We start from the raw sequence: 22,987 nt of genomic DNA on the forward strand, positions 1-22,987 counted from the left end.
TGTGCACATGTTCCTGGAGCAGCTTGCATGCAGCCAGCAGGAATCAGGTTGGGCAAAAAAGCACCCTGTCCTCCAAATATAGGGGTTCCGTGCTCTGACCAGAGAGGTGCAGACAAAGAGGCAGGGGCCACTGTTGCTACACCTCTGCCCATTGTATAAGCTCCACCCCACCCCCAACCCTGCCCTGCAGCTGAAATGATTTCCAGAGGATTTAGAGGCAGCACTATTTTCCCCCGTTTCATTTTTCTCTTTCCATCTTTTGGAAGTCAGACATCAAAGACTAAGATATTTAAAAGCAATCACACATACAGGAGAAATAAGAAAAAAAAATCATGCATATCCATGAAAAGGTGCAGGCTCAGAAAAGACCTGAGAAGACCTTACATTTACACCTCAAACTGATCGTTGGCCCAAAGACAGCCTATGACAATTAAAAAACAAACAAAAACAACAACAAATGCTGGAGAATGGGGAGAATTCAATTTCCAGAGGTACTCCATTATTAGCTTCAAATGTTTAGTTTTCTAACAAAACGTCACAAGACATACAAAGAAACAGGAAAGTATGGTCCATTCAAAGGAAAAAATAATAAATCAACAAAAACTGTCTTTCAAAAAGACCTACTGGTGGAATTAATAGACAAATACTTTAAAACAACCGTCTTAAACATGCTCAAAGAAGGAAGACATAGAGAAAGTCAAGAAAACAATGTTATAAAGAAGATGGGTGATTTGAGCAGGCAGAAGGAAAAAAAGATCAGTGAACTTGAAGCTAGCTTAAAGGAAATTATCACTTCTTCAGAGCAGAAGGAAAAAAAGACTGAAGAAAAGCAAACAGAACATAAAGTATGTGTGAGACATCATCAAGTGGACCAACATATACATTATGGAAACCTGAGAAAGAGAAAAGGGTAGGGGAATATCTGAAGATATAGTGGCTGGAAACTCCCCCAATCTGATGAAAGATATTAATATCAACATCCAAGAAGCTCAATGAACTTCATCTAAGATGAACTCAAAGAGACCCACATCAAGACATACTATAGTCAAACTTTCAAAAGACAAAGAGAAAATCTTGAAAGTGGTGAGAGAGAAGCATATTTCCACACAAATTCCCCAACATGAGTATGAGCAGATTTCTCACCAAAAACTTTAGAGGCCAGAAGGCAGTGGGCTGATATAGCCAATGTGCTATAAGAAAAAAAGCCTGTCAACCAAGAATCCAATATCCAGCAAAACTGTCCTTCAAAAGTGAGGGAGAAATTAAGACATTCCTAAACAAAAGCTGAGGCAGTTTGTTATCACTAGACTTGCCCTGCAACAGATACTAAAGGGAGTCCTTCAGGGTGAAATTTAAGGACACTAGACAGTAACTTGAAGCGATATGAAGAAATAAAGATCACAAAAAAATGGTGCAATTATGTGGGCAATTATAAAATCTAGTATTATTGTAACATTGGTTTGTAACTCTACATTTTGTTTTCTACACAATTTAAGAGGTTAATAATTTTTTAAAAGAAATTATCAATTTATAGTTTTGCCCATATAATGTATAAAGAGGTAATTTTGTGACATCAACATGTAAAAGTGGGGATGAAGTTATAAAGCAGCATTTTTTATATGCTATTGGAGTTAAGCTGGTATAAATCCAAATTAGAATGTATAACTTTAGTATGTTAAATATAATCCCCATGGTAACTACAAAGAAAATAGACATAAAATATATACAAAAGAGAAATGAGAAAATAATTTAAATATTTCACTACAAAAAGATCACTACACACAAAAGAAGACAGCAATTCAGGAAATGATGGACAAAAAGCTTTAAGACACATGGGAAACAAATAGGTGAATGACAGAAGTAATTACCTACTTATCAGTCAATCTAAAAAAGGAAGGAAATTCTGACATGTGCTACAATATGGGAGAAACTTGAGGATTTTATGATAAGTGAAATAAGCCACTCATAAAAAGACAAATATTGCATGATTCCATTTATATGAGATACTTACAGAGTAGTCAAATGCATAGAGACAGAAAGTGTCTATGGTTGACAGGAACTGGGGGGAAGGGAGAATGGGGTTATTGCTTAATGAGTACAGTTTCAATTTTCCAAGAAGAAAAACGTTATGAAGATGGACAGTAGTGATGCTTATTAAACAATATTTACTTGCTTATTTCCACTGAACTATATACTTCGAAATGGTTACAATGGTAAAATTTATATTATGTTTATTTTACACAATAAACAAATGGAAAACAAAAACAGTTGTAGTGCCTCCAGTAAGATCTGCTTTCCTTTTGCTTTTCTGTGGCTTCAAAAACCTACAATTTCAGACTACAAGTGTGGTGATTAAACACCAGCCTGGAGAAAAAGGGGAGGGGAATAATAAAAGTGTTTATCTGTGTGGAATTAGGGCTGCATTTAGTCCTTTCTTTCTTTCTTTCTCTCTGTCTTTTTCCTTCCTGTCTTCCTTCTCCCCTCCCCTCCCCTCCCTTCTCCTCTCCTCTCCTCTCCTTTCCTTCCTTTTCGGGACAGGATCTCATTCTGTCACCCAGGCTGGAGTGCAGCAGCACAAACATGGCTCACTGCAGTTTCAACTTTCTGGACTCAAGTGATCCTGTCACCTCAACCTCCTGAGTAGCTGGGACTACCTGTGTATGCCACCATGACTGGCTAATTTTTTAATTGTTTTCTAGAAATGAGGTCTTACCATGTTGTCCAGGTCAGTCTTGAATTCCCCAGCTCAAGCAATCCTCCTGCCTTGGCCTCACAGAGTGTTGGGATTGCAGGGAAAAGCCACCATGCCTGGCCTGGTCCCTCTTTCAATAAATATTTGATCAGCACCTATTAGGTGCAAGGAGTCGGATAAGAACTGGGGAGAATCAAGTGTCAGGTCTCTGCCCTGAAGAAACTAACCATCGTATAGCAGGTTAAAACATGAACAAAACTACTGTATTAGTCTTTCTAGATCAGACAGTCAAAACCAGCCTTCGGTTGATTAATTGAGAAAGCGAACCAGTGAGGAGATATAAAAGATCATGTTTTGGGTTCAGAGAAGAAAAATATCATATTGGACCCATGAACGAAAATGTTTCCAGAGAGAAGACACAGTCTGATATAGGTCTCAGAGGAAACACAGTGCCCTAGTCATAGCGGCAGGACCTCTCAGGGCCACCTCAATGACTCTTTGTGACCAGTTCCCCTCTGCCATTAACAGATGAGCAAATATACCTTGTTTTTTTGAGACAGGGTCTCGCTCTGTCAACCAGGCTAGAGTACAGTGGTGCAATCTTGGCTCACTGCAACCTCTGCCTCCCACGTTCAAGCGATTCTCCTGCCTCAGCCTCCTGAGTAGCTGGGATTACAGGCACCCACCACCACTCCAGACTAATTTTTGTATTTTTAGTAGAGATGGGGTTTTGCCGTGTTGGCCAGGCTGGTCTCGAACTCCTGACCTCAGATGATCCGCCCACCTTGGCCTCCCAAAGTGTTGGGATTACAGGCTTAAGCCACTGCACCTGGCCCCAAATCTACCCCTTTTACAGGAAACCTGGCATCAGATTCAGTGCCCTGACAACCTACTTGCCAAGCCCACAAACATTCACTTACTCCACTAATCAACAAATACTCATGAGATGTCTACCATGTGTAGGACATTTAGGCTGGGAACCTGGGGAACCAAACATAAATCGGAGTAGATCACACTTCGAAGAAGTTAATAGTCTCATGAGATAAGATCTATAAATAAACAGAAGTCAAAAACTTATTAATTAAATGGTATGAAAACAAAGAATGGAAGCATTACTTCTAGCCACATTGGAGACCCAGGAGAGCTGATGGTGTCATTCCAGTCCAAAAGTCTCAGGAGGGCTGAGGCCCAAGAAAAGCCAAGATTTCAGCTTGAGTCCAAAGTCAAGAAAAGACTGAGGTCCCAGCTGAAGCAGTCAGGCAGGAGGAGCTCTCTCTAAGTCAGGGGACGGTCAGCCCTTTGTTCAGTTCAGAACTTCAACTGGTAAGATGAGGCCCACCCACTAGTGGGAAGATAATCTGCTTTACACAGTCTACCTATTTAACTGTTAATCTCATCCTAAAGCACCCTCACAGCAACATCTAGAATAATGTTTGACCAAATATCTGGGAACCCGGTGGCCCAGTCAAGTTGACACATAAGATTAACCACCTCAAGCAGGAATAAAGACAATCAGGCTGAAAGTTAAAATGCATAGGCTGGAACATCTCACCTTTTAGTTCAGCTGAAACAAAGTCTCTATCTTTAGAGAATTTTGGAACTTACCTAGTTTACTGTAGTTTTCTGTCTACCGGTTGAACCTGTGCCTTACTCTACAGCCTACCCTGAAGGGTGACGGCCACAGAGAAAGTGCTCAGTAAACACTTTGTGGGAAATTAATGCTCCTCTTCCAGCCTGTGTTGACCAGCTTTGTCCCTGTCTTGGCCTGGGTGACAATGCTCAAGCCCAACCCTGGCCCTGCTCAGCTCCATCCCTGCACCAGCGTATTCAGATTCCCTGTGACACTGGTGGCTTCTCACTGTCAAGTTTGCTCCTTTTGTCTGATAGCTGCATCTGGCCCCCTGCCCTATCTTCAAAGCCCTCAGGCCATGGGAGGTTAGGTTTCAACAAATAGAGACATCTGGGTGTCAGGGGAAGCTAAACAGCAGAGAGAACAAATGTGCTGGGGAGGAAGGGTAAAAGTTCTCAAGGATCTGAGAGTGGATGTCTCTCTGGGGCACAGGGCATAGGCACTCATGGGCATGGGGGAGAGGGGGTGTCAGGAGGAGAGGAAGGATAAAGCCCAGGACAGATGAGGCCAATTCATTTATTCCATAAATACTTCTTGAGCACCTATGAAATGCCAAGCTCTGTCCTAGGCTAATAGAGAAGCAAGCTCAGTGAAAATCTTCAGGGGTGCAAAGCTCACAGTGGCCAAGGACCTCATTTCAAAATGTGAAACTGCAACAGCCAAAAAGAGCTAATGCATGCTGGACTTAATACCTAGATCATGGGTTGATAGGTACAGCAAACCACCATGGCACACGTTCACCTAGGTAACAAACCTGCACATCCTGCACATGTACCCCGGAACTTAAAAAATTAAAAATTAAAAAAAAAAAGCAGGCCAGGTGCGGTGGCTCACTCCTGTAATCTCAGCACTTTGGGAGGCCGAGGCGAGCAGATCACTTGAGGTCGGGAGTTCGAGACCAGCCTGACCAACATGGAGAAACCCCGTCTCTACTAAAAATACAAAATTAGCCAGGTGTGGTGGCGCATGCCTGTAATCCCAGCTACTTGGGAGGCTGAGGCAGGAGAATCGCTTGAACCCGAGAGGCGGAGGTTACAGTCAGCCGAGATCACGCCACTGCACTCTGGCCTGGGGAACAAGAGTGAAACTCCGTCTAGAAAAAAAAAAGCAAAAAAAAAAAAAAAAAAAAAAAAAAAAAAAAAAAAGCAAAGACATGCCCTCCTGCTGTCTGTCCAGTTGACACCCACTTCTCCAGAATGAAAACAGTAGTGGGCAGCCACTCCTCAGAGACTATCTCCTATCCTTTGGAAAATTCTTTTGCAAATCTAAAACCAATTCCAGGTTGGGTGAAGGGAACTTTGAGAAGGTTACTGGATTGGGCCAGGATACTAGACCAGCAAGGAACAGAAACAAGTTGAAAACACATCGTTCTAAGTGTCTCCAGTATCCTTTCTCTCTCTTTTATTTATTTGTTTTGTTTTTTATTTTTTATTTTTTTTGAGACAGAGTCTTGCTCTGTCACCCTGGCTGGAGTGCAGTGGTACCTCTTTCTCTGCCTCTTGCTACAGCAAAACCAAGAATCAAAACCAAGGGAGAAGTATTTCTTTGATACACAAATTTCTTTCCTTTGGATAAATACCTAGTAGTAGTGGCATTGGTGGGTGGTATGGTAGTTCTGACCGTTACACCTTCTATGCATGTAACAAAACATCACCAGGACTCCATACGTATTTGCAAATATTATGTATCCATAAAAAATAAAATTGGAATTCACAGTTCTGAAATCAAACAGGAGGACACTAGCTGGGGCAAAGAAGGAATATTTATTTTATTTTATTTTATTTATTTTGAGACGGAGTCTCGCTCTGTCGCCCAGGCTGGAGTGCAGTGGCACAATCTTGGCTCACTTGAATCTCTGCCTCCTGGGTTCAAGCGATTCTCCTGCCTCAGCCTCCTGAGTAGCTGGGATTACAGGCGTACACCATCACGCCCAGCTAATTTTTGTATTTTTAGTAGAGACAGGGTTTCTCCATGTTAGCCAGGCTGGTCTCGAACTTCTGACCTCAAGTGATCTGCCCGCCTCGGCCTCCCAAAGTGCTAAGATTACAGGCATGAGCCACTGTGCCCAGCTCTTTTCTCTCTTTTTTATTCTCTTCCTTTTCCCAACCCCTGTCTCTCTTCAAAGGAGTCTTGTTTTCCCTGGACAAAATCTATAGGAATGTGTGTATATGTGTTTGCAAACCAGGATCTCACACAGATAGGTGTGTGTCCAAGGGGACAAATGACACTGGTGAAATAAGACCACACCCATTGTGCTTGCATTTGATCATCGTGCTCCCAGGGACAAGAGAGGCAGTCAGCAAACCAAAGCCATCACTTTGCAGACTATTTTCCAGCAAGATGCTTTCCTTCCTTTCTATGCCAGGTACCTGATAATTGTCACTTACAGACTGTTGGAAACATCGAGGCTCCTCCTGCCCCCTGAAATTCTCCTCACCTGTCAAACGCTGAGAGAGGAGCACAAGGCTTCTAGACAGTTTCCAAAATGAAGTTGTGCTAGGCCCACAGGTCTATGTCTGGAAGGTACAGTTGCCATAGCAATCCCGGCTAATGACTAGGTATGTAAATGAGGGAAGAATCTATTCATCATTTGCCAGTTGTTCCAAGTGCTTGCCCTTTTGGAAGCTTAGGGGAGCGAGGAGTGGTGTGTTAGAAAAGCATATGTTTGGTAAAATTTTTGAATAAATGTTTGCTTTCAGAGCTCCCCATGAGAAATGATTATTTTGGGTGGTATCCTCATAGAGTGGTTTACTCTGCAGCTACCCCGAGAAGGGAATGAGGATTAACCAAAAACACATACGACGATCCCACCTGTACTCTGGGTCCCTCTGGGAAAACTGCAGCCATCACTTTTATCACAAGCAGTGGGTTTTTGGTCCTCTTGGGTAGTTGGGAGTCTTAAGTAAGGCCTCAGAGACTCGCAAGCTGTCCCTGGCAGCAGATGAGCAGTATCTGACTTCTCCTCCCCTGATTCCTAATTAAAATGCCCATGAAAATCCATAAACAGACAAAAACTGGCAACAGTAACTGATACTGGAGACAACCAAACACTGAAGCCCAGATTCCCAGATTGTCGAGCAACTCTACTGCCCAGGAGAGGAACCGAGAAGGGCCCCTCCGCCTTCTGAGTAAGAACACTGTCAGGGAGGGTCGGGCGCAGTGGCTTGTGCCTGTAATCTCTGCACTTTGGGAGGTCACCAAGGCGGGCAGACCACCTGAGGTCAGGAGATGAAGACCAGCCTGGCCAACATGGTGAAACCCCACCTCTACTAAAAATACAAAAATTAGTTGGGCGTGGTGGCAGGCACCTGTAATCCCAGCTACTTGGGAGGCTGAGGCAGGAGAATCGCCTGAACCTGGGAGATGGAGGTTGCCGTGATCACGCCATTGAACTACAGCCTGGGTGATAGAGTGAGATTCCGTCTCAAAAAACAAAACAAACAAACAAACAAAAAACAGCCAGGGAGACAAAGATGAGAAAGGAAGCTGCCCGTCTGTACTGGAAGTCAGTCCTGTTGAGCACTTGCTTTACTCGGCTGCTGCAGTTTCGCATTTTGAAATGAGGTCCTTACGAAATGCCAGGCTCTATTCTAGGCTAATAGAGAACCAAGCTCAGTGAATTCTTCAAGGATGCAAAGCTCACAATGGCTGAGGACCTTCAAGGATGCAAAGCCGAGTAAAGCAAAGACATCATTGTTCAGATCATACTGGGAGACCTCGGGCAATCGACTTAATTTCTCTGTGCTTCCGTGTTCTCATCTGGAAATGAGAACAATAAAAGAACCTACTTCCTAGGGTTACTGTGTGGATAACATCGAGTTAAGATATGTAAGAGGAGTCTATTCCCACTAGAATATAAACTCCATATAAAACCAAGGTGTTAATTTGACCAGGTCTTCCTGACCTGCTTGCTTTTGGCCACTTGCTTTTTATTATTTTTGTTACTTTTCCTTTTGCCACGTAGCTCACGGCCACACAGCTATTAAGTTGGTACGAGAGTAATTGGTGTTTGCCATTTTGAAAGTAATGGCAAAAACCGCAATTACTCTCGCACCAACCTAATAAATGCTGAAACTTAATGAAGGTTAAGTGAAGACTGGCTACTGTACAGGTCATTCCTACATTTCTGGGTCACCATGGTCGTAGTCGCTTCTGTTGTTTTTTAGGAACTTGGGCCAGCTCCTGACCAGTTCAGACTCACTGAAACCACTGGCCCTTCAACTAGGCCTGTGCAAATGCCCAAGAGGTTGCCTTTTTCCTTTTTTTTTTTTTTTTTTTTTTTTTTGGAGACAAGGCCTCACTCCGTCGCCCAGGCTGGAGTGCTGTGGCGTGATCTCGGCTCACTGCAGCCTCCACCTCCTGGGTTCAAATGATTCTCCTGCCTCAGCCTCCCGAGTAGCTGGGATTACAGGCATCTGCCACGATGCCCAGCTAATTTTTGTATTTTTAGTAGAGATGGGGTTTTGCCATGTTGGCCAGGCTGGTCTCGAACTCCTAACCTCAGGTGTTCTGCTCGCCTCGGCCTCCCGAAGTGCTGGGATTACAGGCGTAAGCCACCGCACCTGGCCCAAGAGGTTGCCTTTTGACATCAGTGGGTGAAAAACCCCACCTTCAGATCATACTAATGCCACGTTTACTGTAAACATGTCCTATGAAATGCCATGAACCCAACTACACCTGTGCAGAACGAACCTGTTACTTCATTTTTTTCCCCACCACTAATCACTTTTCCCTATGCCTTAAAACCACCCCACTTGCCTAACTCACAAATAATCCTTTAGCCTTATCTTTGGGGAAGTGGATTTGGCAGCTGTTCTCCTGCCTCCTCACTCCGTGCCCTTGCAAATAAATCTTTTCTCTTTTGCAAAACCCGTGTCACAGGGATTGATTTACTGCGTGCAGGCAGAACAGACCCGGACCTGGCAGGTAACACACAGAGGGAGGGATTTTGTTTGTTTCATTTGTGGATCTATGCCAAGTGCCTGGGATGGCACATAGAGGGTGTTCAACTAATGTCTGTGGAATGAACAAGCTGGTTGTTAATTGTGAATGTGGGGTGTAGAGGGTAGAAGCAGGATAAGACAGTCCCTAGTGTACTGTGCCCTGGGGTATTTGACAGAAAAGGAAAGCTGTCAGCACAAGAATGAGGAAGTGCCTGCTGAACAAGGTGTGCTAGGAGGGGTGGGTTTCCACACAGACTCCAGGCAGGAAGGCACCACGCACCCTGTATGCTCTGATAGGTCAGAGAACTGGGCAGAGGTACCTGGAATGGGAAAGACGCCTGCTAAGATCAGCAAACCACTCTTTTACTAGCCCAGGGGAAGCTGATGGCTGTTCTCAACAGGTTTGAGATCGTGTTAGTGTGCGTATTACAGAGAAAGGATACTGGAGACACTTAGGTGCATTTTCAGCTTGTCCCTGTTTGTTGCTGGTCTAGTATCCGGGCCCAATCCAGTGACCTTCTTAAAGCTCCCTTCGCCTAATCTGGAATTGGTTTCAGATTTGCAAATGAGAACTTTCCGAGGGATAGCTGAGGACAATGCACCCACGCTCACTTTTCGCAATTGATCATGTCAGGCCTGGACATTTGTTCCTCATTTAAGGACTGATGTACAGCAGTGAGAGCATTCTATCTGCAGGGTGTGTGAAGGATTTTGCTATGGAAAAAACCATCTTCAGAAACAGCATACTCTTGACACAAACTGTACCACAGAAACCAAAAGAAACATAGTAGAAAGGGTCTAGGTTATGTTAGCAGAAACTTCTAGAAAACATGAACTGTGAAAGACAAGCCAAAAGAAACTAGGGGAAATTCAATTACGGTTAGAATTGCAGGAAGTCACAAGACCCTATCTCCCTCACCCCAACAATGAGAACAGTTGGCATAAGATGCAAAATCATAGGGTGTGTGTGTGTGTGTGTTTGTTTTTGGTGTGTGTGTTTTTTTTCTTTGAGACAGAATCTTGCTCTGTTGCCCAAATGCAATCATAGCTCACTACAGCCTCCAACTCCTGGGATCAAGCAATCCTCCCTCCTCAACCTCCTGAGTAGCTGGGACTACAGGTGTGCACCACCATGCCGAGCTAGTTTTTATCTTTTTGTAGAGACGAGGTCTCACCAGGTTGCCCAGGCTGGTTTCAAATTCCTAGGCTCACGTGATCCTCCTGTCTCAGCCTCCTAAAGTGCTGGGATTACAGGTATGAGCCCTGCTAAGAAACCTACTGAGAACAGCCATTAGCTCCTCCCTGGACTAGCCAGAACTCATCCAGATGGCTTCTTAATTGGAGCGGGCATCTCTCCTACCCCAGATACCTCTGCTGAGCCTGATTTATCTTTCTAATCCATCAAAGAGCTAAGAAATAAAGAAATCTAAAAAAGATAAATTCTGCAAAGTGATGAGTCCTTCCTAGCAGAGAAGAGGCTCCCAGAGGTTTTCATTCATGGTAGACATGGGCTTCAAGAGGAGGCTGCCTAACCTGGAACAAACCTTTTTTTTTCTTTTGAGACAGAGTCTTGCTCTGTTGCCCAGGCTGGAGTGCAGTGGTGCAGTCTCGGCTCACTGCAACCTCTGCCTCCTGGGTTCAAGCGATTCTCCAGCCTCAGCCTCCCGAGTAGCTGGGATTACAGGCATGTGCCACCGGGCCGGCTAATTTTTGTATTTTTAGTAGAGACAGGGTTTCACCACGTTGGTCAGGCTTATCTCGAACTCCTGACCTCAGGTGATCTGCCCACCTCACCCTCCCAAAGTGTTGGGATTACAGGTGTGAGCCACCTCGCTCCGCCGGAACAAACTTTTAACAGCTGCTGTGACAGAGTCACATTCCAAAATGCCGCAGCGGAACAGCATGCTGTACCCACCACTACTTTAGTCCTTAGACCTTAACTGGGTGCAGGCAGTTAGTACGGTGAAGGTTGGATAGGGCAGGAGAGCTGAGGGAAATCCCTCTGAGACCCTCCCTCCATGGCTGAGGTCCCTCCTGCACCTGCTCTTTGAGGACTAGAAACAGAATGGAAGGAGACCTCCTGAAAACCCAGAAAACCATGGTGGAACTGGACAGAAAAAGACAGTGAGCAAAATGTCAGCATGGTTCAGAAAGCTTGGCAGCTCCACTATAAAGCATAAAGACATCTGCAGAGTTTTCTCATTGCTCGCATCACAAGCTCTGCAAAACAGAAAGTCCTGATGTTACCCTCGAAATCTTTGAAGTTGCTGTGAACCAACTTCAACTAAAGCTGTAACAGAACTCCTATCCAACTCAACTACGGATTACATTGCGTGAAAGCCTGACTCCAGTGCCTGGCAGGAGGGTTCTGCCATTCTTTGGTGCGTAGATTTTATTTATTTTAGACTTGCAGGGTTTTCTTACATGCAGTATCTGGCATTCAATCAGGAATTATGAGAAGATGCAAGAAAGCAGGCCAGGTGTGGTGGCTCATGCCTGTAATCCCAGCACTTTGGGAGGCTGAGGAGGGCAGTCACCTGAGGTCAGGAGTTCGAGACCAGCCTGGCCAACTTGGCGAAACCCTGTCTCTATTAAAAATACAAAAATTAGCCAGGTGTGGTGGCGGGCGCCTGTAATCCCAGCTACTCGGGAGACTGAGGTGGGAGAATCGCTTGAGCCTGGGAGGCGGAGGATGCAGTGAGCCGAGATCGCACCACTGCACTCCAGCCTGAGAAACAGACAGAGACTCTGTCTCAAAAAAAGATGCAAGAAAGTGTGACTGATATGCAAGAGAAAATTTCACAGAAGCAGACTTAAAAGATGGTCCAGATGTTGTAAGGATCAGAATTTAAAATAAGTATGATAAATGTGCCAAAGATCTCATGGTGAAATACAAAATGTGAACAAATTGGGGGTTTGAGCAGAGATATGGAAATTATTTAAAAAGAAATAGTGAGACCCCCATCTCTACAAAAATTGTGTTTAAAAATCAGCCAGGTGAGGTGGCATGTGCCTGTAATCCTAGTGCTTTGTAAGGCCGAGACAGGAGGATCACTTGAGCCCAGGAGCTTGAGGCTGCATCGAGCTATGATCATGCCACTGCACTTCAGCCTGGGTGGCTGAGCAAGACCTCATCTATAAAAAAAATAAAAATAAAAATAAATGAAAATGCAAGGAATAAAAAATACATATAGGCCAGGCACAGTGGCTCACACCTGTAATCCCAGCACTTTGGGAGGCCGAGGCAGGCAGTTCACGAGGTTAAGAGATCGAGACCATCCTGGCCAACATGGTGAAACCCCCTCTCTACTAAAAATACAAAAATTAGCTGGGCATGGTGGCATATGCCTGTAGTCCCAGCTACTTGGGAGGCTGAGGCAGGAGAATCGCTTGAACCATATCTAAGTACAGCACAGACTGCCAAAAACTTGCAAAAAAAACCTTAAAGACAGTCAATGGGAAAGACATACTACATAACAATCGCTGGGTGTGGTGGCTCACGCCTGTAATCCCAGTACTTTGAGAGACCAAGGTGGGTGGATCACTTAAGGTCTGGAGCTCAAGACCAGCCTGGCTAACATAGTGAAACCCTGTCTCTACTAAAAATACAAAAATTAGCTGGGCATGGTGGTGTGCACCTGTAGTCCCAGCTACTCAGGAGGCTGAGGCAGGAGAATCGCTTGAACCTGGGAGGCAGAGGTTGCAGTGAGCCAAGATCACGCCATTGCACTCCAGCCTGGGTAACAGAGTAAGACTCCATCTCAAAAAGCAAAACAAAACAAAACAAAACAGATTACACTTAGAATAACTAAAACTTTGTACAGGGGAAACCAAACCTCAACTTCTACCACACTCCACATATGAAAACTAATTTCTAATGGCTCACAGACCTAAAAGTAAAAGCTAAAACCATAAATCTTCCAGCAGAAAATGTAGTAAAATTTTTTTTTTTTTTTTCTGGCATGCAGTGGGCTGATCTTGGCTCACACTGCAACCTGCGCCTCCCGGGTTCAAGCAATTCTCCTGCCTCGGCCTCCCAAGTAGCTGGGATTACAGGCACCCACCACCATGCCCAGCTCATTTTTTTGTATTTTTAGTAGAGATGGGGTTTCACCATGTTGGCCAGGCTGGTCTCAAACTTCTGACCTCATGTGATCCACCCGCCTCGGCCTCCCAATGTGCTGGGATTACGATACTTTTGTAACATTGATGCAGGCAGAGATTTTTTTCAACAGGAACCAAAGAGTACTGAACATGAAAGAAAAAAGTGATAAACTGGATTTAATCAAAGTTTCAAATGTCTGCTCATCAAAAGATACTACAGTAGTTCCCCCTCACCTGTGGATTCACTTTCTGCGGCTTCAGTTACCCCTTGGTTAACTGGTCAACTGCGGTTGGAAAATATTAAATGGAAAATTCCAGATATAAACAATTCATAAGTCTTCAACTGCACACTGTTCTGAGTAGCGTGATAAAATCTCATGCCATCCCACTCCAACTTGCCAGAGACGTGAATCACTCCTTTGTCCAGCATATCCAAGCTGTCTATACTACCTGCCCGTTAGTCACTGCTGCCATCTACTTTTGACATTGTCATGGCTCCATGATGACCAGGATCACCGAAGCACATGATCCTCTTTCTGACTTACGGTCAGAAGGTCAATAGCAGCCAAACGCTATGTCATTATGCCCACGCCATTCACCTCCATCTCATCACAAAGGCACTTTATCATCTGACATTATCACAAGAAGAACATGGCAGCTCAAGCCTGTGATCCCAGCATTTTGGGAGGCTGAGGTGCAAGGATTGCTTGAGACCAGGAGTTTCAGACCAGCCTGGGCAACACTGCAAGACCCCATCTCTACAAATTTTTTAAAAATATTTTAAAAAGGGGAGTACAGTATAATAAGATATGTTGACAGAAAGGGAAATCACATTCACATCCTTTTTTTACAGTATATTGTTAAGATTGTTCTATTTTATCATTAGTTATTGTAATCTCTTACTGCACCTGATCTATAAATTTAACTTTATTATAACTATTTATGTATAGGAAAAAGCATAGTATATACAGGGTTTGGTATTATGCACAGTTTAAGGCATCTAATGAAGCTCATAGGGCATATGCCCCTTGGATAAGGAGGGGTTATTATATTAAGACATGAAATGTAAGCCACAGAGTGGGAAAAATTATTTGTCAAGGGACTACTTGGGGTAATAGAAATGTTTTATACTTTGTATTGGAATAAGTGTTTTACTGCTGTTTATAATTGTCAAAATTCATCAAACTGAACTCAAGAGCTTTACATTTTACGGTATTTGAATTATGTCTCACTTAAAAAGTAAAAAATCAGGTGGTACAGGCTGAGATGAAAAAGAGGCTGAAGAAAACAAAGAAAAAATACAACAAACTAGAATAACTCCTAGCAGAATTAAAATCCACAATGCAAATCTTCCCTCCAAAAATTGACCTAACACCACTATTAATCAAGACAGTGATATAATTCTCTGGGTAAAAATAGATGTATAAGGAAAATCATCTGAAAGTCAGGTTACGAAAAAAGAGATAAAAAAATATATAAAGTTAGAGATCTCAAAGATGATATATTTACAGAATTAAAGAACATTAAAATATAAAAGAATGGCAAGTATACATTTATGTTAATACATATGAAATCCAAAAGAAATCAGTGATTTCTGAAATGAATAGATCATTGGATCCACTAAAGAAAATGATCACTTGTGTACATTAATGAACGTGACATAAACTAAATATTGTTAAAGAACTGTCCTAAACTGTTTTAAGTTTCATGTGATTTCACAGAAATATGTGTTCAAATACTCGAAAATGGTTATTATGTAATCTCTTCCAGTGCAAAAAAGATGGAAAAGTCCCAAATACCCTATACATTTCGCCTAACCCTGGTATTAAAAACCTGAAAATGGAAAGAAAATGAAATGGATCAATTATTGTAGTTGTTATTATTATTATTATTGTTATTATTAGAGAGGAGTCTTGCTCTGTTGCCCAGGCTGGAGTGCAATGGCATGATCTTGGCTCACAGCAACCTCTGCCTCTGGAGTTCAAGCGATTCTCCCACCTCTGCCTCCCAAGTAGCTGGGACTACCGGCCCGTGCCACCATGCCTGGCTACATTGTATTTTTTTGGTAGAGATGAGGTTTCAGCATGTTGGTCAGGCTTGTCTCAAACTCCTGACCTCAAGTGATCCACCTGCCTCAGCCTCCCAAAGTGCTGGGATTTTTACACAGGCGTGAGCCACTGCACCTGGCCCAATTATTTTTATGGATATATTTGCAAAACCTAAATTAAAAAATAAAAAAATAGTCAAACTTAACAGGATATAGAGAGAGAAGCTCAGCTAAAGAGAAGTAATCCATGAACTGTAGCAGTTTTTCAATTATCGTAAATTCAATTAAATAAGGGTCAAATAATAAAAGTCAAATAATGAAAAGACCTGACTTCATCATGAAGTCAAATAATAAAAATTACATGATTATCTCAATAGACGTCAAAAAGTTACTCAAAGTTGTTACTGACTTAAAAAGAAAAAAAGGGTAAACTACAAGTAAGATATTACCCTAACCATAATAAATAATGTCCATCTCAGACAACAATCGATGTAATTTTCAAGTTTAAACTCAGAACTCTGGGGAACAGTACTATTAAAGTCAGAAACAAAAGAGCGTCTGAAATAACAATTACTATTGTTTTGATCTAAATGTTTCACCCACTGAAATAGGCCAGAAATGAAAAATAAGAAGTACCTCTCATAGCACAGACCCAGAACCTCAGGGAGCATTTTGTTACTACAAGAAATGCCTTTGGGAGGCCAAGGCGGGTGGATCACGAGGTCAGGGGTTTGAGACCAGCCTGGCCAACATGGTGAAACCCTGTCTCTACTAAACGTACAAAAATTAGCCGGGCACGCTGGTGTGCTCCTATAATCCCAGCTACTTGGGAGGCTGAGGCAGCCACCACCAATCAATCGTCTGACTCAGCAACTGCCCAGCTCTAAAACAGATCCACCAAAGAGTGTTAGAAAAGTATCTAGTTTATGTCCTCGACAACTAACTAAAAGATGTCACATCAGCCAGATTAGAAAAGCGACAAGAGATAATTCCACAGAGAGGAGAAAGCATTGTTACAAAAATGAAATCCAGTGATCAGTAGACTACTCACTGGAAAACCTCCAAGTAGTGAAGCAGGAAATATATGTATGAGAATATAAAAGGCTGAGGAAAAACATAGAGAAAGAACAGCTATGAGGGGTATTGGAAGGCCATAGCCCAGGATCTAAGCTGTGGATAAGGCTAGTAAGAGAGATTGAAATATGTGGAGCAAAAGCAAAAAACAAAAAAGGGTTGAACAAATGTTTTCCAGAAAGAAAACTCGGTCTAAAAATTGAGAGTGTACGCTGGGCGTGATGGTGCACGCCTGTAATCCCAGCACTTTGGGAAGCAGAGACAGGAGGATCACTTGAAACCAGGAGTTTGGAAACAGCCTGGAAAACACAGTAAGACCCCGCCTCTACCAAAAAGAAATTGAAAAAATTTGCCAGGTGTGGTTGCACGCGTCTGTAGTCCCAGCTACTCTAGAGGCTGAGGCAGGAAGATCGCTTGAGCCCAGGAGTTTGAGGTTACAGTGAGCTTTGATTGCACCACTGCGCTCCAGCCTGGGACACAGAGTCAGACCCTGTCTCTAAAAACTGAGAGTGTGAATCATATTCCAAGGAACCACAACAACAACATAACACCAGGCACCACCACTACTAGAACACACAGATGAATATGAACTGGTGACATTTTCAAACTTCCTGGATAATGATTACATCCTAAGCCAAATTAGATTATTCACAAGGAAGGAAAAGCAGGTTATCACAAACTTAACAATATTAAACCCTAACAATAATGAAGGAGCACTCGTAGACCTTCAAAAGAAAAGGGTTATGGGCCGGGCGCAGTGGCTCACACCTGTAATCCCAGCACTTAGAGAGGCCCAGGCAGGTGGATCACCTGAGGTCAGGAGTTGGAGACCAGCCTGGCCAACATGTTGAAACCCCATCTGTACTAAGAATACAAAAATTAGCCAGGCATGGTGACGCGTGCCTGTAATCCGACCTACTCGGGAGGCTGAGGCACAAGAATCACTTGAACCCAGGAGGTGGAGTTTGCAGTGAACCAAGATCATACCACTGCACTCCAGCCTGGGAGACAGAGTGAGACTCCATCTCAAGAAAAAAAAAAAAAAAAAGAAAGAAGAAAGAAGAAGGAAGGAAGGGAAGGAAGGAAGAGAAGGAAGAGAAGTAAGAGAAGGAAGGGAAGGAAGGAAGGAGGTTACGGCCCAAGAATTTTTTATCTAACCCATTTGTTTATGTGTGTTAAGATATTCTCAGATCTGTATGAATATGTGTGAAAGATATTCTCAGATTTAATACTAAGAGGATTAATGCTTGAAGTAGACTTCCTGAAAAATAAAATGAAATTTGGGAAACTTTATGTCAGAACAAATATATATTAATTAAAAATAAGAAACAGAAAACGAGTTAAGTATAGCTGAGAGTAAGCACTAAAGACAGATATAGAGACAAGATAAGTGTTTCTAATATTATTATAAAACTGATATTTTTTAAATTGAAAATAATAAAAGTTGTAAAAAATGGGAGGAACATATTTATAACCACCTTACATTAAAATTAACAAAGAACAGAAAAGAGAAAGAGATAACATTTAATTTCTTATCTTCCATAAAAAAGGTATTAATCATTTGTAACTGATATTAGCTGTTAGAGATAATCTCACAAAAAATTTTACGGCCATCACTAAAGAGGGTAAAAGTAAGATATCTACCTTCCACACAGTTGGGTGGATAATATAAAAAAGAAAAACACAACCGTAGTCACAAAATAATAACTTCATACTAGGTACACAGGAGAACCCCCACAAAACAAAATGACGGAATTAAGACTCAGCCTTAATGTGAAATAAATATAAAAGGCTAAGTGTACCAATAAAAGGGCTCTCAGAATAATTAAAAATGACAACATAATCACACATATTGGGTAAAAGTTTCACCCCTAACAAAATCACAGAAAAAGGTAGGGCATCGTGTACCGTATTCCTGGAAGGAAAAGAAACTGAATAATTGTGAACGGTCCCAGTGACCACTGCGCATAAAGATAAATGTTATGCAAACACAAGCAAAAAGGTTATGTGGCAAAAATCAACAGGACTCAAAAGCATTTAAAGAACATTTGCACTGATAAAAGGTGAAATCCACTATGAGGACAGAGCATTGAAAATTAAAATACAAACTGTTGGAAGTAAATCCAGGAAGTAACATAACATCAATACATCACAATAATTTATCTTGGACAAAACAACCAAAAATAGGGCTACAAGGCACATGGGTAATGTGAAGATAACTTCTATGCACATACAAAAAGCCTTGTAGCATAGAGCCAGTACCTTCATGAAAGTTCATCTTATTCTTGGTTACAGAGAAAAATCTTAGCAAATATCAGGTTATACTTACTTTGCATAATGCAATGAAAATAGAAAATTGGCTCACGCCTGTAATCCCAGCACTTTGGGAGGCCAAGGTGGGCAGATCGCTGGAGGTCAGGAGTTCGAGACTAGCCCGGCCAACATGGTGAAACCCCATGTCTACTAAAAAAAAGTACAAAAATTAGCCAGACCTGGTGGCGCATGCCTGTAGTCCCAGCCACTTGGGAGGCTGAGGCAGGAGAATTGCTTGAACCTGGGAGGCAGAGATTGCAGTGAGCTGAGATCGCGCCACTGCACTCCAGCCTGGGTGACAGAGCTCCATCCGAAAAAGAAAGGAGAAAAGTAAAATGTAAACTAGAAACTTAAAAATCCCAGTGACTCGGAAATTAAATTGTAAGATGGTTTTCTATAAAATTTATGAAGTAGCAGAGGGAATTTTAAAAATACAATAAAATATTATAATGAAAACATCAAAACCGTCTATTAAAATTTGAGAGATATTACTGAGACTTTTCTCAGTGTCCAATTTCCCATCCTAGTTGCCTTAATTATTAAATAATAAAGAATTTAAATAAGTAATCTATTGAAGTAGCTAGAAATGGTAACAAATACACAACAAAAACCCACAAAAACATCAATTCCCTTATCTGCACTTTCGTGTTTACAACAGCATTATTCACAATAGCTAAGATATGAAATCTATCCAAGTGTCCATCAATGGATGAATGGATTTTTTAAAATGTGGCACATTTACACAGTGGAATATTAGCCATAAAAGGAAGGAAATCCTTTTACTTGCAACCACATGGGTTGAACTGGAAGACACTATGTTAAGTGAAACAAGCCAAGTGCAGAAAGACAAATATCTCATGTTCTCACTGATCTATGGTAGCTTAAAAAAAATATTGAACTCGTGGAGAAAGAGAGTAGAACGATGATTATAGGGGCAAGGATGGGTAGTGGGTGTGGGGTAAGAAGAGATGGCTAATGGGTATAAAAATACAGTTATTGAGAAGGAATGAGACCTAGTGTTCAGGAGCACAATAGGGTGATTATTATTAACAGTAATTTACTGGCAGGGCGCGGTGGCTCATGCCTGTAATCCCAGCATTTTGGGAGGCAGAGGGTGGGCGGATCACCTGAGGTTTGGAATTTGAGGCCAGACTGGCCAACATGGTGAGACTCCCTTTCTACTAAAAATACAAAAAAAATTAGCCAGGCCTGGTGGTGCACACCTGTAATCCTAGCTACTTGGGAGGCTGAGGCAGGAGAATCGCTGGAACTGGTAGGCAAAGGTAGCAGTGAGTCAAGATCTCACCATTGCACTCCAGTCTGGGTGACAGAGTGAGACTCCGTCTCAAACAGACAAACAAACAAACACCCCAGTAATTTATTGTATATTTCAAAATAACTAAAAGAGTGCAACTGCTATGTTCCTAACACAAAGAAATTGTGAGCACTTTAGGCGATGGATACCTCAATCACCCTGATTTGATCATCACACATCATATGCTTGTATCAAAATATCACATGTACCCCATAAATATGTATAACTTATATCCATAAAAAATAAAAATTAAAAACTAGAAAAATTAATTCCCTATAATTAAGGGAAATGAGGAATGAAAATAGAATGGTAAAATATTCCCTTATTGCTGGTCTGTATAGGTAGGGTTGCAAACTCTAAAGCCTATAGAGACCAAGCCAGTCCATCAGTAGGCAGGCATAGAACACTAATGAACAGTGGAGACTGTGGCAGATGCCGTACCCAGAGGGGATGGCCACTCAACTCCACCAAATTATTGCAATGAAGGAATGCAGGTCTAGTCTTGCCAAATTCTCCAATATTTTAACAGGAGAAATGTATATTTTTAATGTGAGATTTTCTGCTTTATAAAATGGTGTACGGCCAAATATAACATGGCTATGAGCTGTATTTGGCTGGTAGGCTGCAAGTATGCAACTTCTGATTTAGACTATTGACTTCAGCTTGAACCAATTTCAATAATTTACATTTTTCCAGAAAAATTTCCATTTCATGTAGATATTCAAGTGCATTAATATGAAACTGTATCAAGTATTCTTTTTAAAAATCTCCCATATTTACTTTTCATATCTAGTTTATTTTAGTGGTAATGCTTTCCTTCTTAATTAAATATGCTATCTTTGTGAATTTGTTGCTTTTCTTTTCCACAGAATCAGTGCTTGGATCTGTTCATGAGATTGAAAGGTTTTTGGTTTTTAATTTTTAAATTTCCAAGTGGGTGGGATTCTTATTCAAACTTTTGTTATTAATTTCTCGTTTATTGTATTGTAGTCAAAGAATGTGCCTATATTACTTGTTCTTTACGATTTAATTAGGTTGTCTTTGTAGCCTAATACATAGTCATGTTTTATTTAATGTTCCAGAATCACTTAAAAAGTAAGCTGTTCTCTTTTTAAGGGTACAAAATTTATAACACACACACACACCCACACACACATATATACACACATTCCGTGTCATTCAAATTCTGTTACTTTGCTTTATCCACTTGATCAAATGGAAAGGAATGTGTAGAGTCTCCCATAATAATTGTGTTTCGCCCTTCTTCATGGTACTTCTAAGAACTTGCCCTGCAATAAAACTTTTGCAATGAATATTGTATTCTAGTAAAAAAAAAAAAAAAAAAAAAAAAAGGAGAAGCCTAAAATTCTAAAGTTATCATTAGTGTTGTTCACCAAGTATTTCTACTTTGTTCCCTTCTGGGCATATAGTTGGGTTGTACTCCTCAACACCCTTTGATAATAATCATGGCCATGTGACTTGCTTTAGCCAGTGAAATGTGAATAGAAGTGACAAAACCCTTAAGAATCACTGTGTGATTCCCCGGGTCTCTTTCCCCTGCCTTAGCTAACATGGAAGGAGAGACGGGCTGGAGTCTCTTTCTGCCACAACTCTTGAGTGAGGATGTCACAGAGAAAAGACCCAACCAACTCGCGATGACACACAGTCTGAGTGACAGCTTTAATTTTGTGGTTTTAAGCCACTGCTATTTGGGGGTATATTTATTGCTGCAGCATAACTTAGCCTATCCTTACTGAAACAGCTCTGAAAACAAAGTACGCAGCCTGCAAAGGGGAAAAAAATGGGTAACCAATCAATATATTTAAAAAATTCTTCCTCTCACATACTAGTTAAAGCAAAATGAATTGCCACTTTTCACCATCATGTTACTTATGATTTTTAAAAATTATAATACTTAATATTGGTCAAAATGTTCTAAGACAGGCATTCTCATACATTCCTTTTGGTAAACCCTGCCTAAGAAAATGTTACTTAGCATGAAGAATTTTAGCAATTTCCTATATTTCACATAGAATCTCACTTCTAGGAATCCAGCACGGTTTCTGCATTGAAGATGGCACCGTACACTCGTACCAGGGAGAAAACAAACTTCCCAAGTGGGATTCTGAGATTGGTTTGCTTGCCTCTAACCTTAAATGAAGTGCTGACCTCCTTGCCCACTGAAAAGGGGATACTAGTATCTACTGCATGCATTAGCATTATGATTAATTAACTGTCATCTGTGGTTTCTTGGGATACAATAATTATTTAAAGTAAGGCTTTGGAAGACCTAAGTGGCTCCAAGGTTTGACCTTTATGGTAACGATGATGACTACCAGGACTGCCAGCTGGGATGGCTGCTTCTGAACACCCTTGTAAGAACAAACAAGCTCAGACCTTTAAACTCTCAGCTCAAGTCACAGAGAACTAGATTGCTTCTGCGGTGGTTCTAAAATAATCACTTATTTCTTATAACCCTGCAGGGAAGATGCCAAATTTAACTGTGTGCTCTGTAGAATTATCAGTTGAAATCACAGACTCATCAAATCTCTTATGTGAAATTTCAGGTCCTGATGGAAAAGGAGTGGGACCTGAGATTCAGAACAGGAATTTTTAGGTGGATTTAGAAAACTGATTCCCAAAGTCTCCCTTACGTCCTCTCTTACAGCTCAGACAAGATCAACTTGAAGACCATGAAGGCCTGTAATAAACACAACTAAGGCAGTTGCCTTGATAGGGGATGCCTATTTCTTCAAGGTCTACCCCTACCAGGTTTGTCTCTAAGCCCATGGCTAGAATCAGATTGGCATATCCCAAGAGGAAACATTCTAGGTCTGATGTGAATGAACAGAGAATTGCAATCAGCTTA

General features: G+C 41.7%; 1 protein-coding gene across 15 annotated transcripts in view; it reads right to left on the reverse strand.

The window, feature by feature from the left end:
* CALN1 (calneuron 1) overlaps positions 1-22,987 on the reverse strand; it is a 724,789-nt gene that overhangs the window by 291,690 nt on the left and 410,112 nt on the right. The window lies entirely within an intron of this gene.

Source organism: Homo sapiens, chromosome 7 (genome assembly GCF_000001405.40).
Source record: "Homo sapiens chromosome 7, GRCh38.p14 Primary Assembly".
In the NCBI taxonomy this organism is placed as follows: Eukaryota; Metazoa; Chordata; class Mammalia; order Primates; family Hominidae; genus Homo; species Homo sapiens.